General features: G+C 35.9%; 1 protein-coding gene across 2 annotated transcripts in view, besides 1 other annotated feature; it reads right to left on the bottom strand.

Annotated features, from left to right (window-relative positions):
• Positions 1-7,433, bottom strand: part of KMO (kynurenine 3-monooxygenase) — a 63,265-nt gene extending 55,832 nt beyond the window's left edge. For both annotated transcript variants that reach the window (NM_003679.5, NM_001410944.1), the window contains exon 1: positions 7,313-7,433. In NM_003679.5, coding sequence (NP_003670.2) covers positions 7,313-7,366 — 54 coding nt within the window. In that variant the 5' untranslated portion in view covers positions 7,367-7,433. The remainder of the gene's footprint in view (positions 1-7,312) is intronic.
• Positions 7,701-7,850: an enhancer, noted in NCBI's record as "active region_2828". NCBI's record gives its function as "activates an Ori minimal core promoter by ATAC-STARR-seq in GM12878 lymphoblastoid cells {active_cell/tissue: GM12878}" and the evidence as "EXISTENCE:reporter gene assay evidence [ECO:0000049][PMID:35858748]".

Raw genomic sequence — 18,742 nt, 5'->3', positions numbered from 1 at the left:
GAGCTCCACACCCTCCTTCTACCTGCCCCGTTGGCTCCTGGGCCTTATTACTAGTGGGGGAATGGAGTAAGGATAACAGGGGAATGAGAAAACAAAGAGGGAAAGAAGAGAGTCTGAAGTGAGCTGCGGAGAGAATATTGATGGTCTAGAGCGTAAGAGGAGCCTGCTCAATCTTCCTTTGTCTTGCTTTTGGAATAACTGCAAAGCACACGAAAGAGATTCAGATTGACTGGGGCAATATCATTTCAGAAGGTTTTGTTGGGAGTTTTGAATACACTCCAGATTTGATGTTTTTGAGAGCCTACATTAGATTCTATTTGCTTTTAATTTCTCATTGGCTGAAGGACAGTTGTTACTCTGAATGCAATGCCATGCTTAGGCCAACTTCAAGGGTGAAGTAGCTATTGCTGCTTTCTGGAATTTTTTTGAGACGGAGTCTCACTCCGTTGCCCAGACTGGAATGCAGTGGCACGATCTCAGCTCACTGAAACCTTTGCCTCCCAGGTTCAAGCAATTCTCCTGCCTCAGCCTCCCGAATAACTGGGACTACAGGCACACACTGCCATGCCTGGCTAATTTTTTTGTGTTTCAGTAGAGATGGGGTTTCACTGTGTTACCCAGACTGGTCTCGAACTCTTGAGCTCAGGCAATCCACCCACCTCGGACTCCCAAAGTGCTAGGATTACAGGCCTGAGCCACCGTGCCCAGCCAAATCCCCACTATTTTTAAGACTACAGATGTGTATATTTTCAAGTTGTTTTCCAGGAAAAAAATACCGGCTTAGATTACCATCAACAGTGTATGAGGGTGCTCTTTTTCTTTGAGTAGACAGATAGAGGACTAGACGAATGCATGAGTGAATATGGACAGAAGGGAAATAATCTGAGAGTATTTGGGAGGAGGATGCGCCAAATGAGAAGGAATGAAAGACACACTCTTTGTAGGCACTTAACAAAGTCTGGAGCTGTCTAAAGTTGTTGGTTCCATTCCAGATACTTCCCACCAGATAGCAAATGAAGGAATCTCTGAGGGATGAATTCCCTGAGGTGAGAGTGGGATTTATGAGGCACAGCCACAAAGAAATCCATTCCACCTCTGTTTTTAGAAGGTGCTAGATATGGGCCACTAATGAGAGTTTTTCATATTTAAGAAGGCTCAGAGCCTATGAAATAGAAAACTGAAACCCAGGTCTAACATGGTGAGGCCCACCAAACAGCCTGCCTTGCTTGCTTTTTATTGCTTACTTCTAGTTGATCTCAAAGCCCATATAGCTAAAAGTCATGTAGCCAAACAATATACATCTAATCTGTCACTAGCTTCCTTATAGACAACGTCTCTGGCATGTATGTCACTATGGTAATAGTTGCTTAAAGTTTTTGTTTTTGTTTTTGTTTTCAGGAACTAGGTGTTCTTACCCAAGTTAAACTACTTGAAAGAGACCACCAACCCTCTTTCTACCTTGCCCATTGACTCCTGGGCCTTATTACTATGGAGTAAGGATAATAGGAGAATGAGAAAGCAGATAGAAGAAGGAAAGAAGAGAGTTGCAGGCCCTTCAACTGGGCCTGCACAAATGCCCAAGAAGTGACTTTCTGATACCAGAAGGCCAAAAACCTCACCTTCACAGCATGCTAATGCCACCATTTTCTGAACATGTGTCCTATGAAGAGTCATGAACCTTGATTATGCATGCTCAGACCACCTATTCATTTTTCCCCACTGCTAATCACCTTCCCCACACCTTAGACCACCCTGCTTCTTTACCCCATAAATATCTCTAAGCCCTATCTTTGGAGAGGTGGATTTGAAAGCTGTTCTTCCATCTCCTTGCTGGGCTGTCCTGTGAATAAAATCTTCTCTTTACTGCAAAACTTGTTGATATGGTTTGGTTGTGTCCCCACCCAAATCTCATCTTGAATTGTAGCTTCCATAATCCTCATGTGTTGTGGGAGGGACCCAGCGGTAGGTAATTGAATCATGGGATTGGGTCTTTCCCATGCTGTTCTCGTGATAGTGAATGAGTCTCATGAAATCTGATGATTTTATAAAGGAGAGTTCCCCTGCATGCCGTCTCTTGCCTGCCACCATGTAAGACATGCCTTTTGCCTTTCACCATCATCATGAGACCTCCCCAGTCACGTGGAACTGAGTCCATTAAACCTCTTTTTCTTTATAAATTGCCCAGTCTCAGGTAGGTCTTTATCAGCAACATGAAAACGGATTAATACACTTGTTATCTCAGTAACTGACTTACTGCATGCTGGGCAGAACAAGCCTAGTTTGGTATCAAAACAAGAGTAGAGCAAATAGAGCTTAGTTTATTTTCACATTGATAAAATAATAACAATAAAGGTTAACAGTAATTATGTCTTTTTCATGGTATAGCTCATTAATATTTGCAAAAAATATAAAGTATGCACTTGAATCAAATTCTGTGTAGACCTCAACCCAGGATTATAAGCCATTTGATGGTTCATATGCACTGAGGACGTTTACTTCAGGGAAAGTGAAAATTCTGGGTGACATTTGATTTCTTTTTTTAGAAAGGAGTAGGTTGAGAACAAAGCTAGAGATCTGTGAGCGAGAAAGTGTGAAAAAGAAGCAGTAGAATTTTAGTGTTAAAAGACTAGCAATCTAGTTTTAGTCCAAGAGGAAGAAACTGAGACCCATAGGGTAAGATTTCCTGAGTGTCCAGCTGGTTGCAAACTCTGCTATTCCCAGTCCCCTCAATGAATAATGTTTTTTCCATCCCATGAAGCTGAGTGAAGAGTAAGTGGTGAGGTGGAAAAATCCTAAGAAGAACAGAACAGAAACACCATTTGGGGACAGTTTGGCATCAAGACCATTTTGAGCCTATAAATCCATGACAGGATTTAACATCTATAGCTGTGAGACATAAACTCTCATAGAGTCAAGGTCAAGTTGCCTCAAAAGCAATTTCATCAGCAGAGGCCACTGACTTGACTTGAATTCCAGGGGGCAGGGCACAATTATCAACAATAAGTCAAAATACGTACAAATCTCCTCACCCTCTAAATACTACTAAATGGAGAACTTTCCTGGGTCAAACATAGGGAGAGTAGATCACAAAGCTCTCTACAGTGGGGTTTCTTTTTTGCAGAAAGGAACAGAAGAAATATTTGAATGATATCCTAAAATACATCTCCAAAATACATGCTAGAATAGTGGACATACATTGCAACAGCAGGAGTCAGCTGAGACTGGAATGCTTAATAGCCCTCTTACCAAGGCTCTTGGCTTCAGTCAAAAAATGGTGTCTTGAGTAGCTTTAGCTGTCACTGAAATGGTGCCTTTTTGCTCTGATCACTTTCGTCATACCTGTAAACACTGAAAACAGTTATCAAAAGCAGTATTTTCTGAGTCTTAAGGACTGAATTCAGATGTGGATTAAGGACACTTGTTTAGCTTAGATGGCCTTTGTTTACTTCTCTGGCTTGTCTACTTCTCTCTCACTTCATAAAGAAAAGAAAACATATCACTCTAACATGAAGTAAGGCAGTTTGTATGGCAGTTTTTTTGTAATGCAGGTTTTTTTTGAAATGATGTGCTAGAATTGAAAAGCTACACTGTAGAACTCCTTCCAGCATGCAAAATTGAGATTATTTTCCAAATCCTTTTTTAAGTTACTCATTGAAAGGACTACATTCCTCATGACATAATTGTGTTAAAAAAAAAACTCTTTAAAAATTTCCCATAACTTCTAAAGGAGTGATTCTCCACTTTGTTCTGAAATCAAACTCATGCACAGAAAATATTTTAGTGTGGCTCACATTATAAGGCACTGGGAAACCTTTATAAAGGTAGCAGGAGCCAAAGATAAAATAATCTTTAGATCTACGAAGTAAAAAGCTTCTATGGGGAATAAACTATGCATAACAAAATTTTAATAGAAGGCAGCATTTGATAATGACAAACAAAGCCCTGTGGGCATTTAAAGAGAGGAGAAGCCTTCACAGGTTGATTGTCCTGCAGTTACCTTCTGGAACTAGCAGGAGGTAATCCCATTGGCTGGAGAAGGGATGGGGGAGTTGTAATTCACACAAGGAGGAAAATATCAGTCAATACAGGGGTCTTTCTAAATATTTAGGTCAATGTTCTTGAAATGCTATTTTAACATCTTTTCCCACTTGTTTTTCAATATTTAAACTTTACCTGGTTTATGATTATGGTTTAGTTTCTTTTACCTTTTGTTTCTCATTAGGAGTTTTTTTACTGGTTTGTTGATCTCTTTGACTGAACATGTCTTCAAAGAAAGGAAATCAACTGGTTTAACCCAATATCAGATGATCACTACATCAGAGCAAGAATAACTTCTCAGGGTGACTTTTCATTAGGCAAGTTTACTAGACATGGTAAGCTACCACTGATAAGAATTGAGGGAAGTTCACTATATTTTTTGGATGTCTAAGTAAAGGTTCTCAACTCTCATTTTTTTTTCTAGGGGCCAGGGGAGAGCCTTTAATGTGTTAGACAGTATAAGGTACTGGGATATGGTTTATGGAAAGGAGGAGGTAGGAAGGGAGGGTGGAAAAAAAAACAGAAGAAGATGGGCAAAAATGTAATCTTGTCCTCTATGTAAAGACATTAACCTTCTTGAATTGCTCTATTTAGTCAATACTTTTAAAAATAATTTTCTCAATATTCAAACATGCATCTGTTATTATTTTTTCACCTTTATATCATTAAGTTTTCTCATTCCTCTCATTTATTCATCCACCCAATACATAATGTTAGGCATAATTACAGCCTCTGGAATACATTGGTTAATAAGAGTTTATATCCTAGTTGGAGTAGATATCTAAGAAACAGGTTAAAAAAAAAAACCCAAAGTGTGTAATTTCCGATACTGGTAGATAAGATTAACAAATAAAAAGGGAAAGGGGTGAAGCCAGAAAGGCAGATAGGCTTAGTTCAGACAAGACCTTTGGTAAAGAGTTTGGGTTTTATTTTATTTGTAATGGGAGATCATTGGAAGATTTTAAGCAGGGGATGATAATGATCAGACTCATGTTTTAGAAGGGTGTTTCTGGCTGTGGTGTGTAGTATGGACTATAAGGGAAAAGGAGTTAAAGCTGGGAGACTAATTTGGAGCTTGTTGCAGGAATAAGGATGGCGGATGATAATGGCTTGGGCCAGGATGGTTGTAATGGCTAGAATTTAAATGTATTTTGGATATAGAGCCTCAAGGCTTACTGATGGAGTGAAAGAAGAATAAGCGTTTGCACAAAATGACAATAGGAATCAAACATGATGCGTAAGCATGGACTTGAACAATAGGATGGATAGAATTCTTTTGCAGAGGAATTTTAGTTGCTCCCTAATACGCAAGTAGTAATTTTTGTCTCCTATTTTCCAGCATATGTATGACGTGGTTACATGATGACAATCTCATGTTATTCAGGGAGAAATCCATGGATGACACCCACATTTTTATGCCCCCCAAAACCATATATACAATCACATATTTGTTATCTCTCCCTTGGATTTCTAAGAGACAATTTTTAAAATGAGACATCACTGCTGCCACCTTAGTCCAAGTCTTGAGCTAACGTAACAGCCTCCTAACTGGTCTATCTTGTCATCTTAAAATGTTCCTAGTCATTCTCCACATAATGGTCCAAGGGACCTTTTAAAATCACAACTTAATTTCCTGCCTAAAATCCTCCAATAGTTTCCCATTGTAATTTGAACAAAATCTGATCTTCTTGCCTGGACCTCTAAGATCCTACAAGATCTGGTCTGTCAGCTTTTCTGGCCTCATCAGCTACTCTTCTCTGGCCTCAGGCAGTTCCTGCCTTTCTTTCTGCTCCTTGAACTTGGGCAGCTCATTATTGCCTGAGGGTTTCTCTTCCTGCTGTTCCCTCTGCCTGAAATGCTCTTTCTCAAGATCTTCACGTAGTTAGTTCTATCTGATCATTCAGGTCTCTGGTCACATGTCCCTTCAGCAGAGCAGCTGTCCCTGACCACATTCTAAACAGGTACTCCCAAAGATACTCTCTACAGCACTACCCTGTTTTCGTTTCTTTCATAGTGCTTCTCTTTAACTGAAATTGTCTTATTTGTTTTCTTCTTCCTTGTCTTTTTCTTCTCTGGAATTCTCACCCTCGCATCCCTACTACCTAAAACAATATTGGTACATAGTAATCAGATTTTGTTGAACACATGAATTCTCATTTTGTGCAACATTTTGATAGGACAGATTGGACACAAGCCTAGTATGAAGCAGTGACGACACATGTCCCAACCAGTGACCAACACATCATGTGATAGCATTTCTAAATGAAAATTTAGAATCAGAAATATTAAAAGAACTGTTCTAGCACTTTGGGGAAAAGACACTAAGGAAGGCAGAACAAAAGACAGCATATACTGTATAAATACATGTGTGGCATAAAATATACCATCTATATTCAGCCTAGAACAGTGTTACGCCCTCAATAAATTTTTTGTTGAGTGGATATATGAATAATTAATGAAAAGTCTCCAAATGATTTGACCAAAGGTGATAGGGAAATGATTTAACCTTGACTAACTGGGATGTTTGTATTCTGAAACAGAAATTCTGCTGAGATGGGAAAAAGCAAAGTTGAATCGGAGCAGACCCATGTTAAACAGAACTACCTTTGGCACCATAACTATGAAAGCAGAGAGTGACCTCTCCTTCCGTCTTGTTAGGTATGGGGGAAGCCCCAGCACCTTTACGTCACGTGCTCAGTGAGAGGTGAACACCTCACTCCACTGTCTTAGGTGCTCCACTGGAAGAGTCAAGTAAGTCAGGCGACCACATAAATCTTATTCCCAATTACTCATATAACTAGTGAACATTCAACATGATACTTTGACGTTAGCTTCATGTTTCTTGACCCTTTTATTCTCATTAGACAGCATTAACTGAGTTATTAAACAAAGCGGAACAAATGTTTTTATTAAAATGAATATTGAGACTAATTCCTGTTCCTAAAAACATAGCCAATTTGGGGATAAAATCAAATTCAATTTGCATTATTTTTGCTTTTTAACAAATCCTAAACCAAAATGATGAGGGAAAACAGAAACCTTTGTATTTAATGGCTATAAAATACCTTTCCTGAAAAAGAACAGATTAAAACTCATACTATATTAAATCTATGAAAATAAAAATATTAAAAAAATAAACAAAATAGCTGTATTTAAATATCAGAGTTTTCACAAGAAAATTAACAATTTGCAGAAGTGACGAATAATAATCATTACGAGTAATAATAGTTAATATAATACCACCAACAATAGTAATCCATCTGAAAATTCTTACCAAGCCACCACCAATGACAGCTACTTTTTTCCTTTGAATGACAGATGAGTCCATAACTGCTGAAGTATTTTTCACAATTATTGTTGCTTCTGTCACTGAGTGACACTGATTTCTGTGTCTCCTACACACTGATTTCTCTGAGTTTTTATACTGCCCCAAGCCTAGTGCATTCATGAGCCAGCGGCAATGTTTAGTCAGGGCTAATTTCCCTTGACAGTATTAACCCATTAGTTGGCCAAAGTACAATCAGCTCAGCTCTAAGAAAAAATAAATCCATTACAATAACCAAATTTTTTAAAAAATCCATCCAATTGGAGACACTCTATTTTTTCTATCTTCTGTGTAAGACACAGAAATTTTTAAGCAGTCTTGTGGCTTTTCTTCTTCTTTTTCTACAGCATATATTCTTAGTTTCGTTTTCATTCATGATTAACCATGAATGGAGCCCTTCTCATCTGAAGTCCAAAAACATCTTATACCTCCCTTAGAGAGTAAGATGACATGGTTTCATAATTCATCTGTGGATCATTTTTGTGGTTAAGACCAATCAAAAATTTCATCTAAAGGGTCCTCATGGATTGTTTTTAACAGGCTCTACCAGGGAAAATTCTCTGCAAGGTCTTAATATTCTCCCGATCAACATTTTGAATTGTGTAACTGACCATACTTCCCCTTTTTTTTTTCAGCCCAGATGCTAGAAAATTTAGAATCTAATTTTAGAATCGAAAATTTAGAGTCTAATTACCACTAGGGGAGATGACTGACACAACGCTTCTGTAAACTCATTCCCGACTTCATATTATCTATTCACTTTTTTGTCTTTTTCACTCCGTTTTAAATGTTATACTTTTGTGCATGATTTGCGAATGGCAATTGTTTTCTGGAACATGATGTGGTGTAATGTAAAATAAGAACATAAATGAAGTTGTTTCTTCACTTCCTGTTAAGCACATAAAGAATTCAGAACGTTTTTTTCCCTGGTTAGGAACTAGAGTTAAATGGCATTCAATAGTGACCCCTTGTGGATAAGCATGATTAGGTATTTTATTTATTTTGAATAGGTAATACATTAACATGGCATGAAATTAAAGACACAAAAGAGTACACGGTGAATAGTAATCCTGCTAACCTTGACCCTTGGCCACCTATTCCTCCTGCCCAAAGACAACAACTGTTTTGGTGTGTGGGTTACCGTATTCTTCTACACGTTGATTATGTCTTTCTTGTTCTTCCTCTCTCTCCTTTTCTCTCTCTCTTTCTCTCACTCTCTCATTCCCTTCCTTCCTTTCTTTTTAAACATACATTTAAAAACTTTTTCCACATCATATTTCTCACTTTACAACATATAGCTTGAGAATTCTTCAATATCAATATGTAGAGAATATGTATCAATTCCTCAGTATCAATATGTATCATTGTTAAAAAATCTTTTAAAAATTATGAACTATAACACAAATGAACAGTATAATAAGTTACTGTAAAGCAAGTATCCATGTAACTACCATTTAGGTGCAGAGAGAGAATATTGCCAGAATCCCAGAAGTCTAACGTGCCCCCTGTTAATCACCCCTCCTTCGTAGAGGTAACTGCCATACCAACTTTCTTTGCTTTTATGTATAATTGTACCATGATAGATGCATCCCTAAAATAGTTTAGTGTTGACTTTTTTGAACTTTCCTATAAATGAACTTATACTGTTTATTTTTTTACAACTTGCTTCTTTTTCTCAATATTATATCTCTTAAGATCCATTTGTGTTGTTGCATGTTTTTCCAGTTCATTCATTTTTATCGTCATTTATTATTTGTCCATTGTGCTGTTGATGGACATTTGGGGTGTTTCCAAATTTTTAATATCATGAATAATGGTGTTGCCATAAACACTCTTGTGTATACAATGTCATGTACATATGTATGAGTATCTCTAGGTTTCATATGCTGTTTATGCTTTTTTGTTTGTTTTTTGTTTTTTGGGTTTTTTTGAGATGGAGTCTCACTCTGTCACCCAGGCTGGAGTGCAATGGTGCAATCTCGGCTCACTGCAACCTCTGCCTCCCAGGTTCAACTGATTCTCCTGCCTCAGCCTCCCGAGTAGCTGGGATTACAGGTGCCTGCTACCACGCCTAGCTAATTTTTGTATTTTTTCAGTAGAGATGGGGTTTCACCATGTTGACTAGGCTGGTCTTGAACTCGGCCTCAAGTGGTCCACCCGCCTCAGCCTCCCAAAGTGCTGGAATTACAGATGTGAGTGACTGCGCCCAGCCATGTTTATGCATATTTTTAACCTTTCTGAATAAACGAAAGTTACATTCCAAAGTAGTGCATTAGCTTTTACTTAACACAATGTGTAAAATTTGTCTTCTGCTGTATCCTCACCAATGTATGTATTGCCAAGAATTTTTAATTTTTGCCAGTCTGGTAGATGTGCTTTATATTTCAGTGTTCTTTTAATTTGCAGTCCTTTGATTATCAGTGAAGTTGAGCACATTTTTACCTGTTCATTCACAACTTCTTTTTCTTCTTCTGTATAGGTAGTGTTAATTTTTGGGGGGGGAGGGTGGGAATTTTTTTTTCCTTTTTTGAGTCCCATTGCATATGAACTTTAGTACTTAGATATGTCACAAATAACATTTCATTCACTCTGTGGCTTGCCTTTTTGCTTTCCTAGTGGTGTCTTTTGATGAAAGAATATTCTTCATTTAATACATTCTTTTCCCTTGTGGTTAGAGTTTTTCATGTCATGTTTTATCACTTTTTTTGTATAATCTTGAGGTCATGAGGATATTCTTCCATGTTGACTTCTAAAATAGTTATAATTTACCTTTCATTTTTAGGTCTATGATCAACATGGAGTTAGTTTTTTTGTTTTTGGAATGCTGTGATATAGATGTCAAAATTTTATTTGTTTTCCAAATGAATACCCAATATTCCCTGTACCAATAAATGAAAAGACTTTCCTTTTCCCGCATTGCCTTTGGTGTAGGTCCAGTGTTCATATATGTGTGGGTCTCGTTCCAGGTTTCTATTCTATTTCATTCCATATAGTCTATACTGCCCATACTATACCTACTAATGCCAGTTCCAAAGCCAAATTACAATAGCTTTAATACAATCCTTAATATCTTCATCAATTCACCCACCTTGTCCTTCATTAATAATGTATTGACTATTCTTGGTGCTTTGTATTTCCATCTGTTTTAGAATCAGCCTGTTAATTCCATTTTAAAAATCCCTAAAATAAAAATATGGTTGGGATTTTTGACTGGGATTGCTTCGAAGTTATACATCTATCTGGAAAGAATAACTATTTTGACTACTGCGTCTTTCCATTCAGAATATGATATGCCCCTCCCCACCATCTGTTTGTCATCTCCAAGGCTTACAAAGTTATATTCTTTCCCTGTAGAGGTTTGATCCCCTATTATTATGTTTAGGTAATTGATTTTTTAAATTTTATTGTAAATAATATCTTTCATTTCATTTTCTACTATTAATAGTATTTAGAAACACATTATTTTCCATTTTGTGAGCTTGTATGCAGCAGCATTGCAAAAGTTATTAATTCTATTGATTTTGTCTGTAGATTTTTTGATTTTTCTTTTCACCCAATCGCAATGACAGTCCCTTCCTTCCTTCTTTCCTTCCTTCCTTCATTCCTTTTTGTCTTTCTTTCCTGTTGACTGAATGGTGGATTTTTCTCTTCACCACAATCATGGTAGTTTCTCTCTCTCTCTCTCTCTCTCTCTCTCTCTCTCTCTCTCTCTCTCTCTCTCTCTCTCCCCCTGCTACTGACTGATTGAATGATTCTTTCCATGCTGGCTAGTACCTCCAGTACAGGGTGGAATACAGGTTTATTTCTTAAGTTCCAAATGCATGGCACATCCTAGTTTTCTTATTGTTATTGGTTTTTAGCAAAATTCCAGTGAGGCCAGCTAATATGTGCTATAGATTTTCAAACATGTGAAACGGGTTAAGACTCATTGTATGGCCATAAAGTGGTAAATTTGTGTAAATGCTTTGTGTGTACTTGAAATATATATATATTCAAGTATTTCAGAATATATATATATTATATATATATATATTCTGAAATTAATGTATATATTTTCCTATACATATCCATTAGGTCAAGTTTATTAATCATGTGTTCAAAACTTTTGTATTCTCGCTAACTTTTGGTATGCTTGTTTTGTCAATTACTGAAAAAGGTTATGTTAAATAATCTCACGCTGTGATTGGTATTTGTCTGTTTCTTCAGCATTTCTATCTATATGGAACAATCCACATTTAAAGCTGCTATCCATTACTGGTAAACTAAAGCTTTTATTATTATGAAGCAAATAATTATTTTTGCCTTAAACTTTATTTGATAGTACTATTAGCTTTTATATTTAGGTTAGCATTTACATATTATATCATTTCCAACCTTTTGGTTTCAACTTTCTTTTATTCTTATGTGGCCTTTGTAAACAGCATTCTGTTGAACGTTTTAAAATCCAGTCTAGTCTTTAATCTTTATCTTTTAACTTGAGTCTTCGGCTTTCTGTCGTTTCACTAAGATGTATCTACATAAAAATTTATTTTTATAGATCCTAGCAGGAAATCATTGGGTTGCTTAATAGAGATTGGTTTCTTCCCTTGTCTCTTATCCTTTAATCTGTATTTTCATTGCTTGTCCTTTTGTGCTTCGCTATGGATAGTTATGTTAATGCATTATGTATTTTAATGTATTATTGAATTTCCCAATTCTTTTTTCTACTGTCTAGTCAGCTGATAAACTCATCCATTATGCTCTTAACTTTGATTATTGCAATTTTTTAGTTCTGGAATTTTTATTTTATTTTTCATATGTACCACAATATTTTTAGTTTCCAGCACCCTTGCCAAAATCCTCAAGTTTATGTTTATTACTTAACATAATAAACATGAATGTCTTACGGTCTGTGTCTGATAATTTCTACTGTGGCTTTGTTTTGATGGTTATTTATCGTTTGTAGACACTTATGTTATCTAATTTCCCTGTGAGCATTTTAAGCTTTGAGTGCTCAAAATGGTAGTTGAAAAAAAAAAAAAACCTACTTGTAAGTAGTTTGAGGCTTCAGGCATCAGTGTATTGCTTTAGAGAAGATTAATTTTGCTTCTGCCTTGTGCTTATGGGTGATTCAGCACTCACTCCGTATGCAATATCAGTGAGGTCTGTCTTAGGAATAGCTGTTCCTTTGGTATCTACATAGCCCATATGGGATAAAACTAGAGATCGTTGTGCTACTTGCTCTCTTTAAGCCTAGAAGTTCAAAACCCTTTTCCACAACACATGACACATTTCATTTTCAATGTTATTCATCTAAAAGATGAACTCTCATGGAAGTACTAATATTAGCAGTTTGGGCACAGATAAGATAGCCTGAAGTTTACATACAATTCTCTGCTTAATAGCTAGAAACTTACCCTTTTTCTTTGACTCAAAGAAGCACACATATTAATACTATATTATCTGAGTAAAAACGTATTGCACCTGCTTTACTTATTTTTAAAATAATTTTCAAATTTTGATACTTTAACTCCTATGTATAACAAATTGTGACCCACCTCACAAATAATCTGGCTAAAACAGTGTTTTATGACATTAAAACTGACTATAAAGATGCTGATAACTATTGTTCTATGATGTTTCTACATCTCTTATTAGGCGGGTCAAATAACTCTCCACTTATGGGCCAAAAAATTATGTCAAGTCAATAGTTGAGATAAAAGAAATTAATTATTAATCATGAAGTCTGTGCAGCATGTAAACAACATGCTAATAGACTGATAAGTAATGATTATTATTACTTTTATAGTAAGTCCCAGTTTTCTCAGTTCATTCTTAGAATAGATAATTTTGTTATTACCTCTCAGAAATGTCCTCAATTTCTGTTATAGGGAGAGTCAGTAATAAATGACTGTTTCTCCAAAAAAGTGACAATTTTCATATCTCATGTTGCTTTTATTTTTTTTGACAATCCAAACTAAATGAAACTTAAATTGATAGATATATTTTATTTTTTAACTTTATTTTATCTTAATTTAACTTTTAGGTTCAAGGATACATCTGCAGGTTTGCTATTTGGGTAAACTTGTGTCACAGGGGTTTGTTGTACAGATTATTTCATCACTCAGGTACTAAACCTAGTACCCAATAGCTATTTTTTCTGAACCTCTCCCTCCTCCCATCCTCCACGTTCAAGTAGGCCTCAGTGTCTGTTGTCCCCTTCTTTGTATCCGTGTGTTCTCATAATTTAGGTCCCACTTATAAGTGAGAACATGCAGTATTTGATTTTCTGTTCCTACGTTAGTTTGCTAAGGATAATGGCCTCCAGCTCTATCCATGTTCCTGCAAAGGACATGAGCTCATGCTTTTTTATGGATGCACCGTATTCCATGGTGTACATGCACCATATTTTCTTTATCCAATCTGCCACTGATGGGTTGATTCCATGTCTCTGGATAGCTACATTTTATAATAACATCTGAATAATTTGGATTTGATGATCTTTGAGTTGGAAGAGGAAGGAAGAGGTAATAAACTTTTGTATAAGATTAGGCAGGAGAAAACAGATCTGAGTAGAATGATCCAGTTGATGACTTTTAGAAATTGTAGGATAACATGAGAGTCCAGAGTGCCTGAAAGAGAAAGGGCAGCAAAAGCTTGAAAAAAGCTTAACTATTATAAACTTACAATTTTGACCATGGCTACTTATCCCTCTGTTCTTCCTAAAAGTCAGGTAGAAAGCATTGTGTTGGAGGAGCCTCAGGAAGGTTCAAGATCACAATCACTCCTTTCTCTGGATGATGTCCTTGAGGGAGAGAAGAACTGATAGACTAGCTTCCCCCATTCTCTGAGCCTGAAGAACTTGAGACTGTAGGATAAGTAGGGATTTATAGAGCAATTTGTGTCAATAGCAGTAAGCAATTCATCCTTGTTGGGATTCAGCTATTTGTTAATCCCTAAAACTGGTACTTTTACAATAGAATGACTCCAAGAGGAGAATACCTTACATCAGACACTGAATATTTCCACTTTACACATATTTATATATTTAACAAATCAGCATTATTGGAAATAATAAACATTTATGAAAAGAAATTAAAATTTAGCAAAGGATTAATTAAAACAATATTTACTCCGATGTTTTCATCATTCTCAGACTGTTGAAATTGACAGAATTATCTCCCTTTGACGACATCAGCTTGCTCAACAATTGTTTATTCGTTTAACCAAGCCCTTTGTACTTGCAGCTGTCTGCCTAGAATACTCTTCTATCATTGTATAGCTGGCTCTCATTGCTTAGTTCTCAGCTCAGATACAATATCCTTAGCTTGATCACCTTATCTAAAAGAAGCAACCTCTCAATCATTCTCTAAACATCTTGTTTCCTTTATTGTGTTCACTATTCTAGGAAACTACCAGGCTTATTAGTTTACTTGTTTTATTAAACAAATATATATTGGTGAAAGTAAAAAGAGAGGAAAGTGAATGGATTCAAGATATAAGTTTGTGTTAAATGACCAGGATCTGCTGGTAAATTTGGCATAGTGTACGCATATGTTTGGGAAATGGAGGCAGAGTTCAGGAATCAAGGAAGACTTGCAGGTTTCTAGCTTGACTAACTGGTAGTAGTTTACTGAGCATGAAAGACTAGGGCGGGGTGCCAACTAAGATTTATCATTTAGGTATATTAAGTTTGAGATGTGAGTATTGAGTTAGATAGAGATACTAAGCACACAGTTGGAAATGTAAATCTGGAGCTTGGAGAAACCTAGGTTGGAAAAATAAGTTTGGCACCATCAGTATATCAACATAAAGATGGTACTGAAAATCATGGGAATGAAGATTTCACCTATGGAAAGATAACTGATTGAGAAGATAGTTAAGAAAGGGAATAGCATGCATAATTCAATAACATTTACATAAAAATTTAAACTGCACAAAACAACTGTACAAATTTTACAAGAATACATCTAAACAAAAGGATACAAAATAAACACATTATAATAGTTTTCTAGGGGTTTGAAAGGAGAAAGGGTATAGGAGAATAAGAAGCTAAGTGAAGCTAAGCTATGAGGACTCAAAGTCATAAGAACCATATAATGGACTTTGGGGACTCAGGGGGAAGGATGGGAGGGGGTGAAGGATGAAAAACTTAAACATTGGGTACAGTGTACACTGCTTAGGTGATGGGTGCAACAAAATCTCAGAAATCACCACTAAAAAACTTATCCATGTAGTCAAAAGCCACCTGTTTCCCCAAAACTATTGAAATCAAAAAAGAGAGTAAAAATATGAATAGAAAATAGGAATAGAAATGAAATATTTAAATAAAATAAGAATGGATCTTATACTCCATAACATGTCATAAGGTCAGTGTATTTACTCAACACTCTGTACCTGAGGTCCCACTATATTTTTAAAAATGAATTAAAGAGGAAAGACTATTTAGGAGTGAGCCCTGAGGCCCTTCCCTATTTATAAGTGAAAATCTGTCAAAGAACAGTGTGAAGGAATAGGTAGTGAAACAAAGTGGAAGTTTGGGAGAGGGAAATACGGAGACTTTGATATTTCAAAGAGCGAGAAAGAGGTATTTCCAAGGAGAAGGGGTGTCAATTGTGTCAATGCTGCTGCAAACATAGGAAACTAATTGTTCATTGTATTTGCACCTTGCAGGTCACTGGTGACCCTGGAAAGGGCAGTATGAATGGAGTGACATGTACTGAAGGCAGATTGTAATAGGATGAAGAAAGAATGAGAAGTGAAGTGAAGATGGTGATCAAATATGTCCTGGAAATGAGGAGGGAGTTGAAGTGGGATGCAAAGTCAGAGCAGCTTTTGTTTGTTTTTAACATGAGAGCTGAGACAGCAAAGTTACAGTATTAACTTATTCTATGGGTCAATTAAGAGAAATAACCAGACAAAGTAAGAAAAAGAGTGGGTAGTGTCTCTGAGGGGTAATGGAATCCAGCACATTGAGGAATTGAAGTTTTTCTGGAGAATGGAGAGAGAGGTTGGTTAACTTTCTGAGTTGGTAATTTTAGTGTTTTGCAAAGTTTCTGTACGTGCACTTAGTCTTAGGAATAAAAAAGTTCTGCAAGACATCCAACCTAAACAGTCATCACCCTTGCTACCTCTCCGCCACTTATCCTTGCACAGAGGCATCCCTTCCAGTTCCTGGGTATATACTTCCACATCTCTAAAGATTACCTCTTGGTTTTTATTTCTGTCTGTCCAGTTTATGGTTTTAGGTATTAGATCATGACTTCTCACTACTGAAGACGAAGATTAATGTTTTTTTTTTCACCGTGTCTGAATCTCTCCAAACTTCTACATTCTTTCCATCTCCCCATCCTTTCAGTATAGTTACATCAACATTTCAGTTAGATCAATATTCAACGTTTGATTTATTATAACTATGGCCATTCAAATTTGATAATGATTATTTTCCCTTTTCTGCAAAATACAACTATCTTTATTTGTCAGTTTAATAACTGTCATGCTTTTTCCCTTTGGTTACTTTTCTAAGACTTATAAATGTAACCCTCAAACTCTCCCCCAATCAGCTAAATTCCTTCTCAGTATATTCAAGGCATTAGCAATTTTATCTTTTTGAGTAAATCTATTCCAGAGGCTGTGACCTGCTTCCATCTGAGATGGTTGCTCTCTAAGGTAAGTGCACAGCTGTCATAGCCTCCTCCAGGCAATATGCCACATCTGTCTCTTGTGTCGAAGACCCTATTTTCTAAGTCCATAATTTCCTCTTCCTTTGTTTACTCCTAGTTACGGTGGAGCACTTACTTGAGGCGTTTTCTTGAAAAGTGTAGATAAGAAGTAAATTTTTTGACATCTTGATCATGTGAAAACATTTTAATTCTCTTCACACACTTGATTTCTCTGGGTATAGAATATAAAGTTGGAAATAATTTTCCGTTAACAATTTGAAGACATCATTCAACTGCTGTCTGGCTTCCGATATTGTTGTTGTGAAGTCTAAGGATTTCTAATCCTTTGCTTATTTATTTTTCTCTCTGAAAGATTCCAGTCTCTTCTCTTTGCCCTTGGTATTCTAACATTTCTTGTTGACATAACTCATTCTGGCTAGTTCATATCTGCTAGTTCTACAATATATTTTTCTGAATTTATTTTTTTAAGGTTTATTCCATTTTTTCCTAATGTTTCCCCTACATTATTCACATGTTGGACATACTGAACTGTTTCTCTAATTTTATTTACTTCTTTTATTTTCCTTCTCTTTGAATATTTGCTCTACTTTCTGGGAGACTTTTATGGGTGTATCTTGCAAATTTTCTGTTAAGCTTCCTCTAGGAAACCCACTGGTAATCTCCCAGGCTGGGAGGTATCCTAAATTAGAATTTGCAAAAGTCTTTAGTTTGAATAAGGAGAACATTTTGATTGATACAATTTGAACCTCGCAATCAATTTTGTCAGCCAGGTGTTGAGATTTAGAACACAGGCAAGAGAAAACCATTGCACTTTTCCCTTGTCCCTCAGCAGGACACCAATCACATCCCCTACCTTAAACAGAAAGCAAAGTAAAACAAACAAGAACAAACCAGGCAAGCATCAACAAGAAGAAAGCAGGTCAATATTATTATCAGACAAGTCCAAAGTTAAAAAAAAAAAACCCAAACTCTAAGCAAAGTAAAAACATTATTTCAAATAGATAACATAAGTCATTCTAAAATGAAGATATCTAGCCTTTATTAAAGGCTTTATGTACGTTTTATTACGAATTAATAAAAATAAATTAGCTAAGTTAATATTTCCTAAATTTTAGTCATTTATATAGCATCTTCATATTATACTGAATATTTTACTTCAAATAAAATGAATAATTAAAAATGGAACTTCATATTACTACTGCAGATAGAAAATCAGTTTCACTAATAAATCGAAGTAAAACACACAAATAAATATGTGGATGTTCCTGGGCATCAATTTTTCTCTTCTATGTACAGGAATAATAATAGGACCTATCTCATAGGGTTGTTTTTGAGTGTTCCAAGAATTAATACATATAAAGTGCTTTGAAAAATTCTAGAACATAATATGTGTCATAGGTAATTTTTAAAAGGGATTAAAATAACCTATTTATAAAAAGGCTATTAATTTGGGTTTTGAAAAGTTAAACTGTATGGTAGAAATAAGAGACATGCTCGAAACAAAAATGAAACAAAAAATAAAATAAAATGAGAAATATACAGCAGGCAAATAATAGCCAATATGAAATTGGTAGAGAAATATCAATATTAAAAAAAGTTTAAAAGGACAAGCAACAATAACAATAAAGAGGGGCACCACACAATGAAGAAAGAGATGATCTATGAAGAAATGATAAACATATGTTCATTAAATAATTTTGTGTAATAGCAAAGAAAA

This window comes from Homo sapiens, chromosome 1 (genome assembly GCF_000001405.40).
Source record: "Homo sapiens chromosome 1, GRCh38.p14 Primary Assembly".
In the NCBI taxonomy this organism is placed as follows: domain Eukaryota; kingdom Metazoa; phylum Chordata; class Mammalia; order Primates; family Hominidae; genus Homo; species Homo sapiens.
This window is presented reverse-complemented; position numbering and strand designations above follow the sequence as displayed.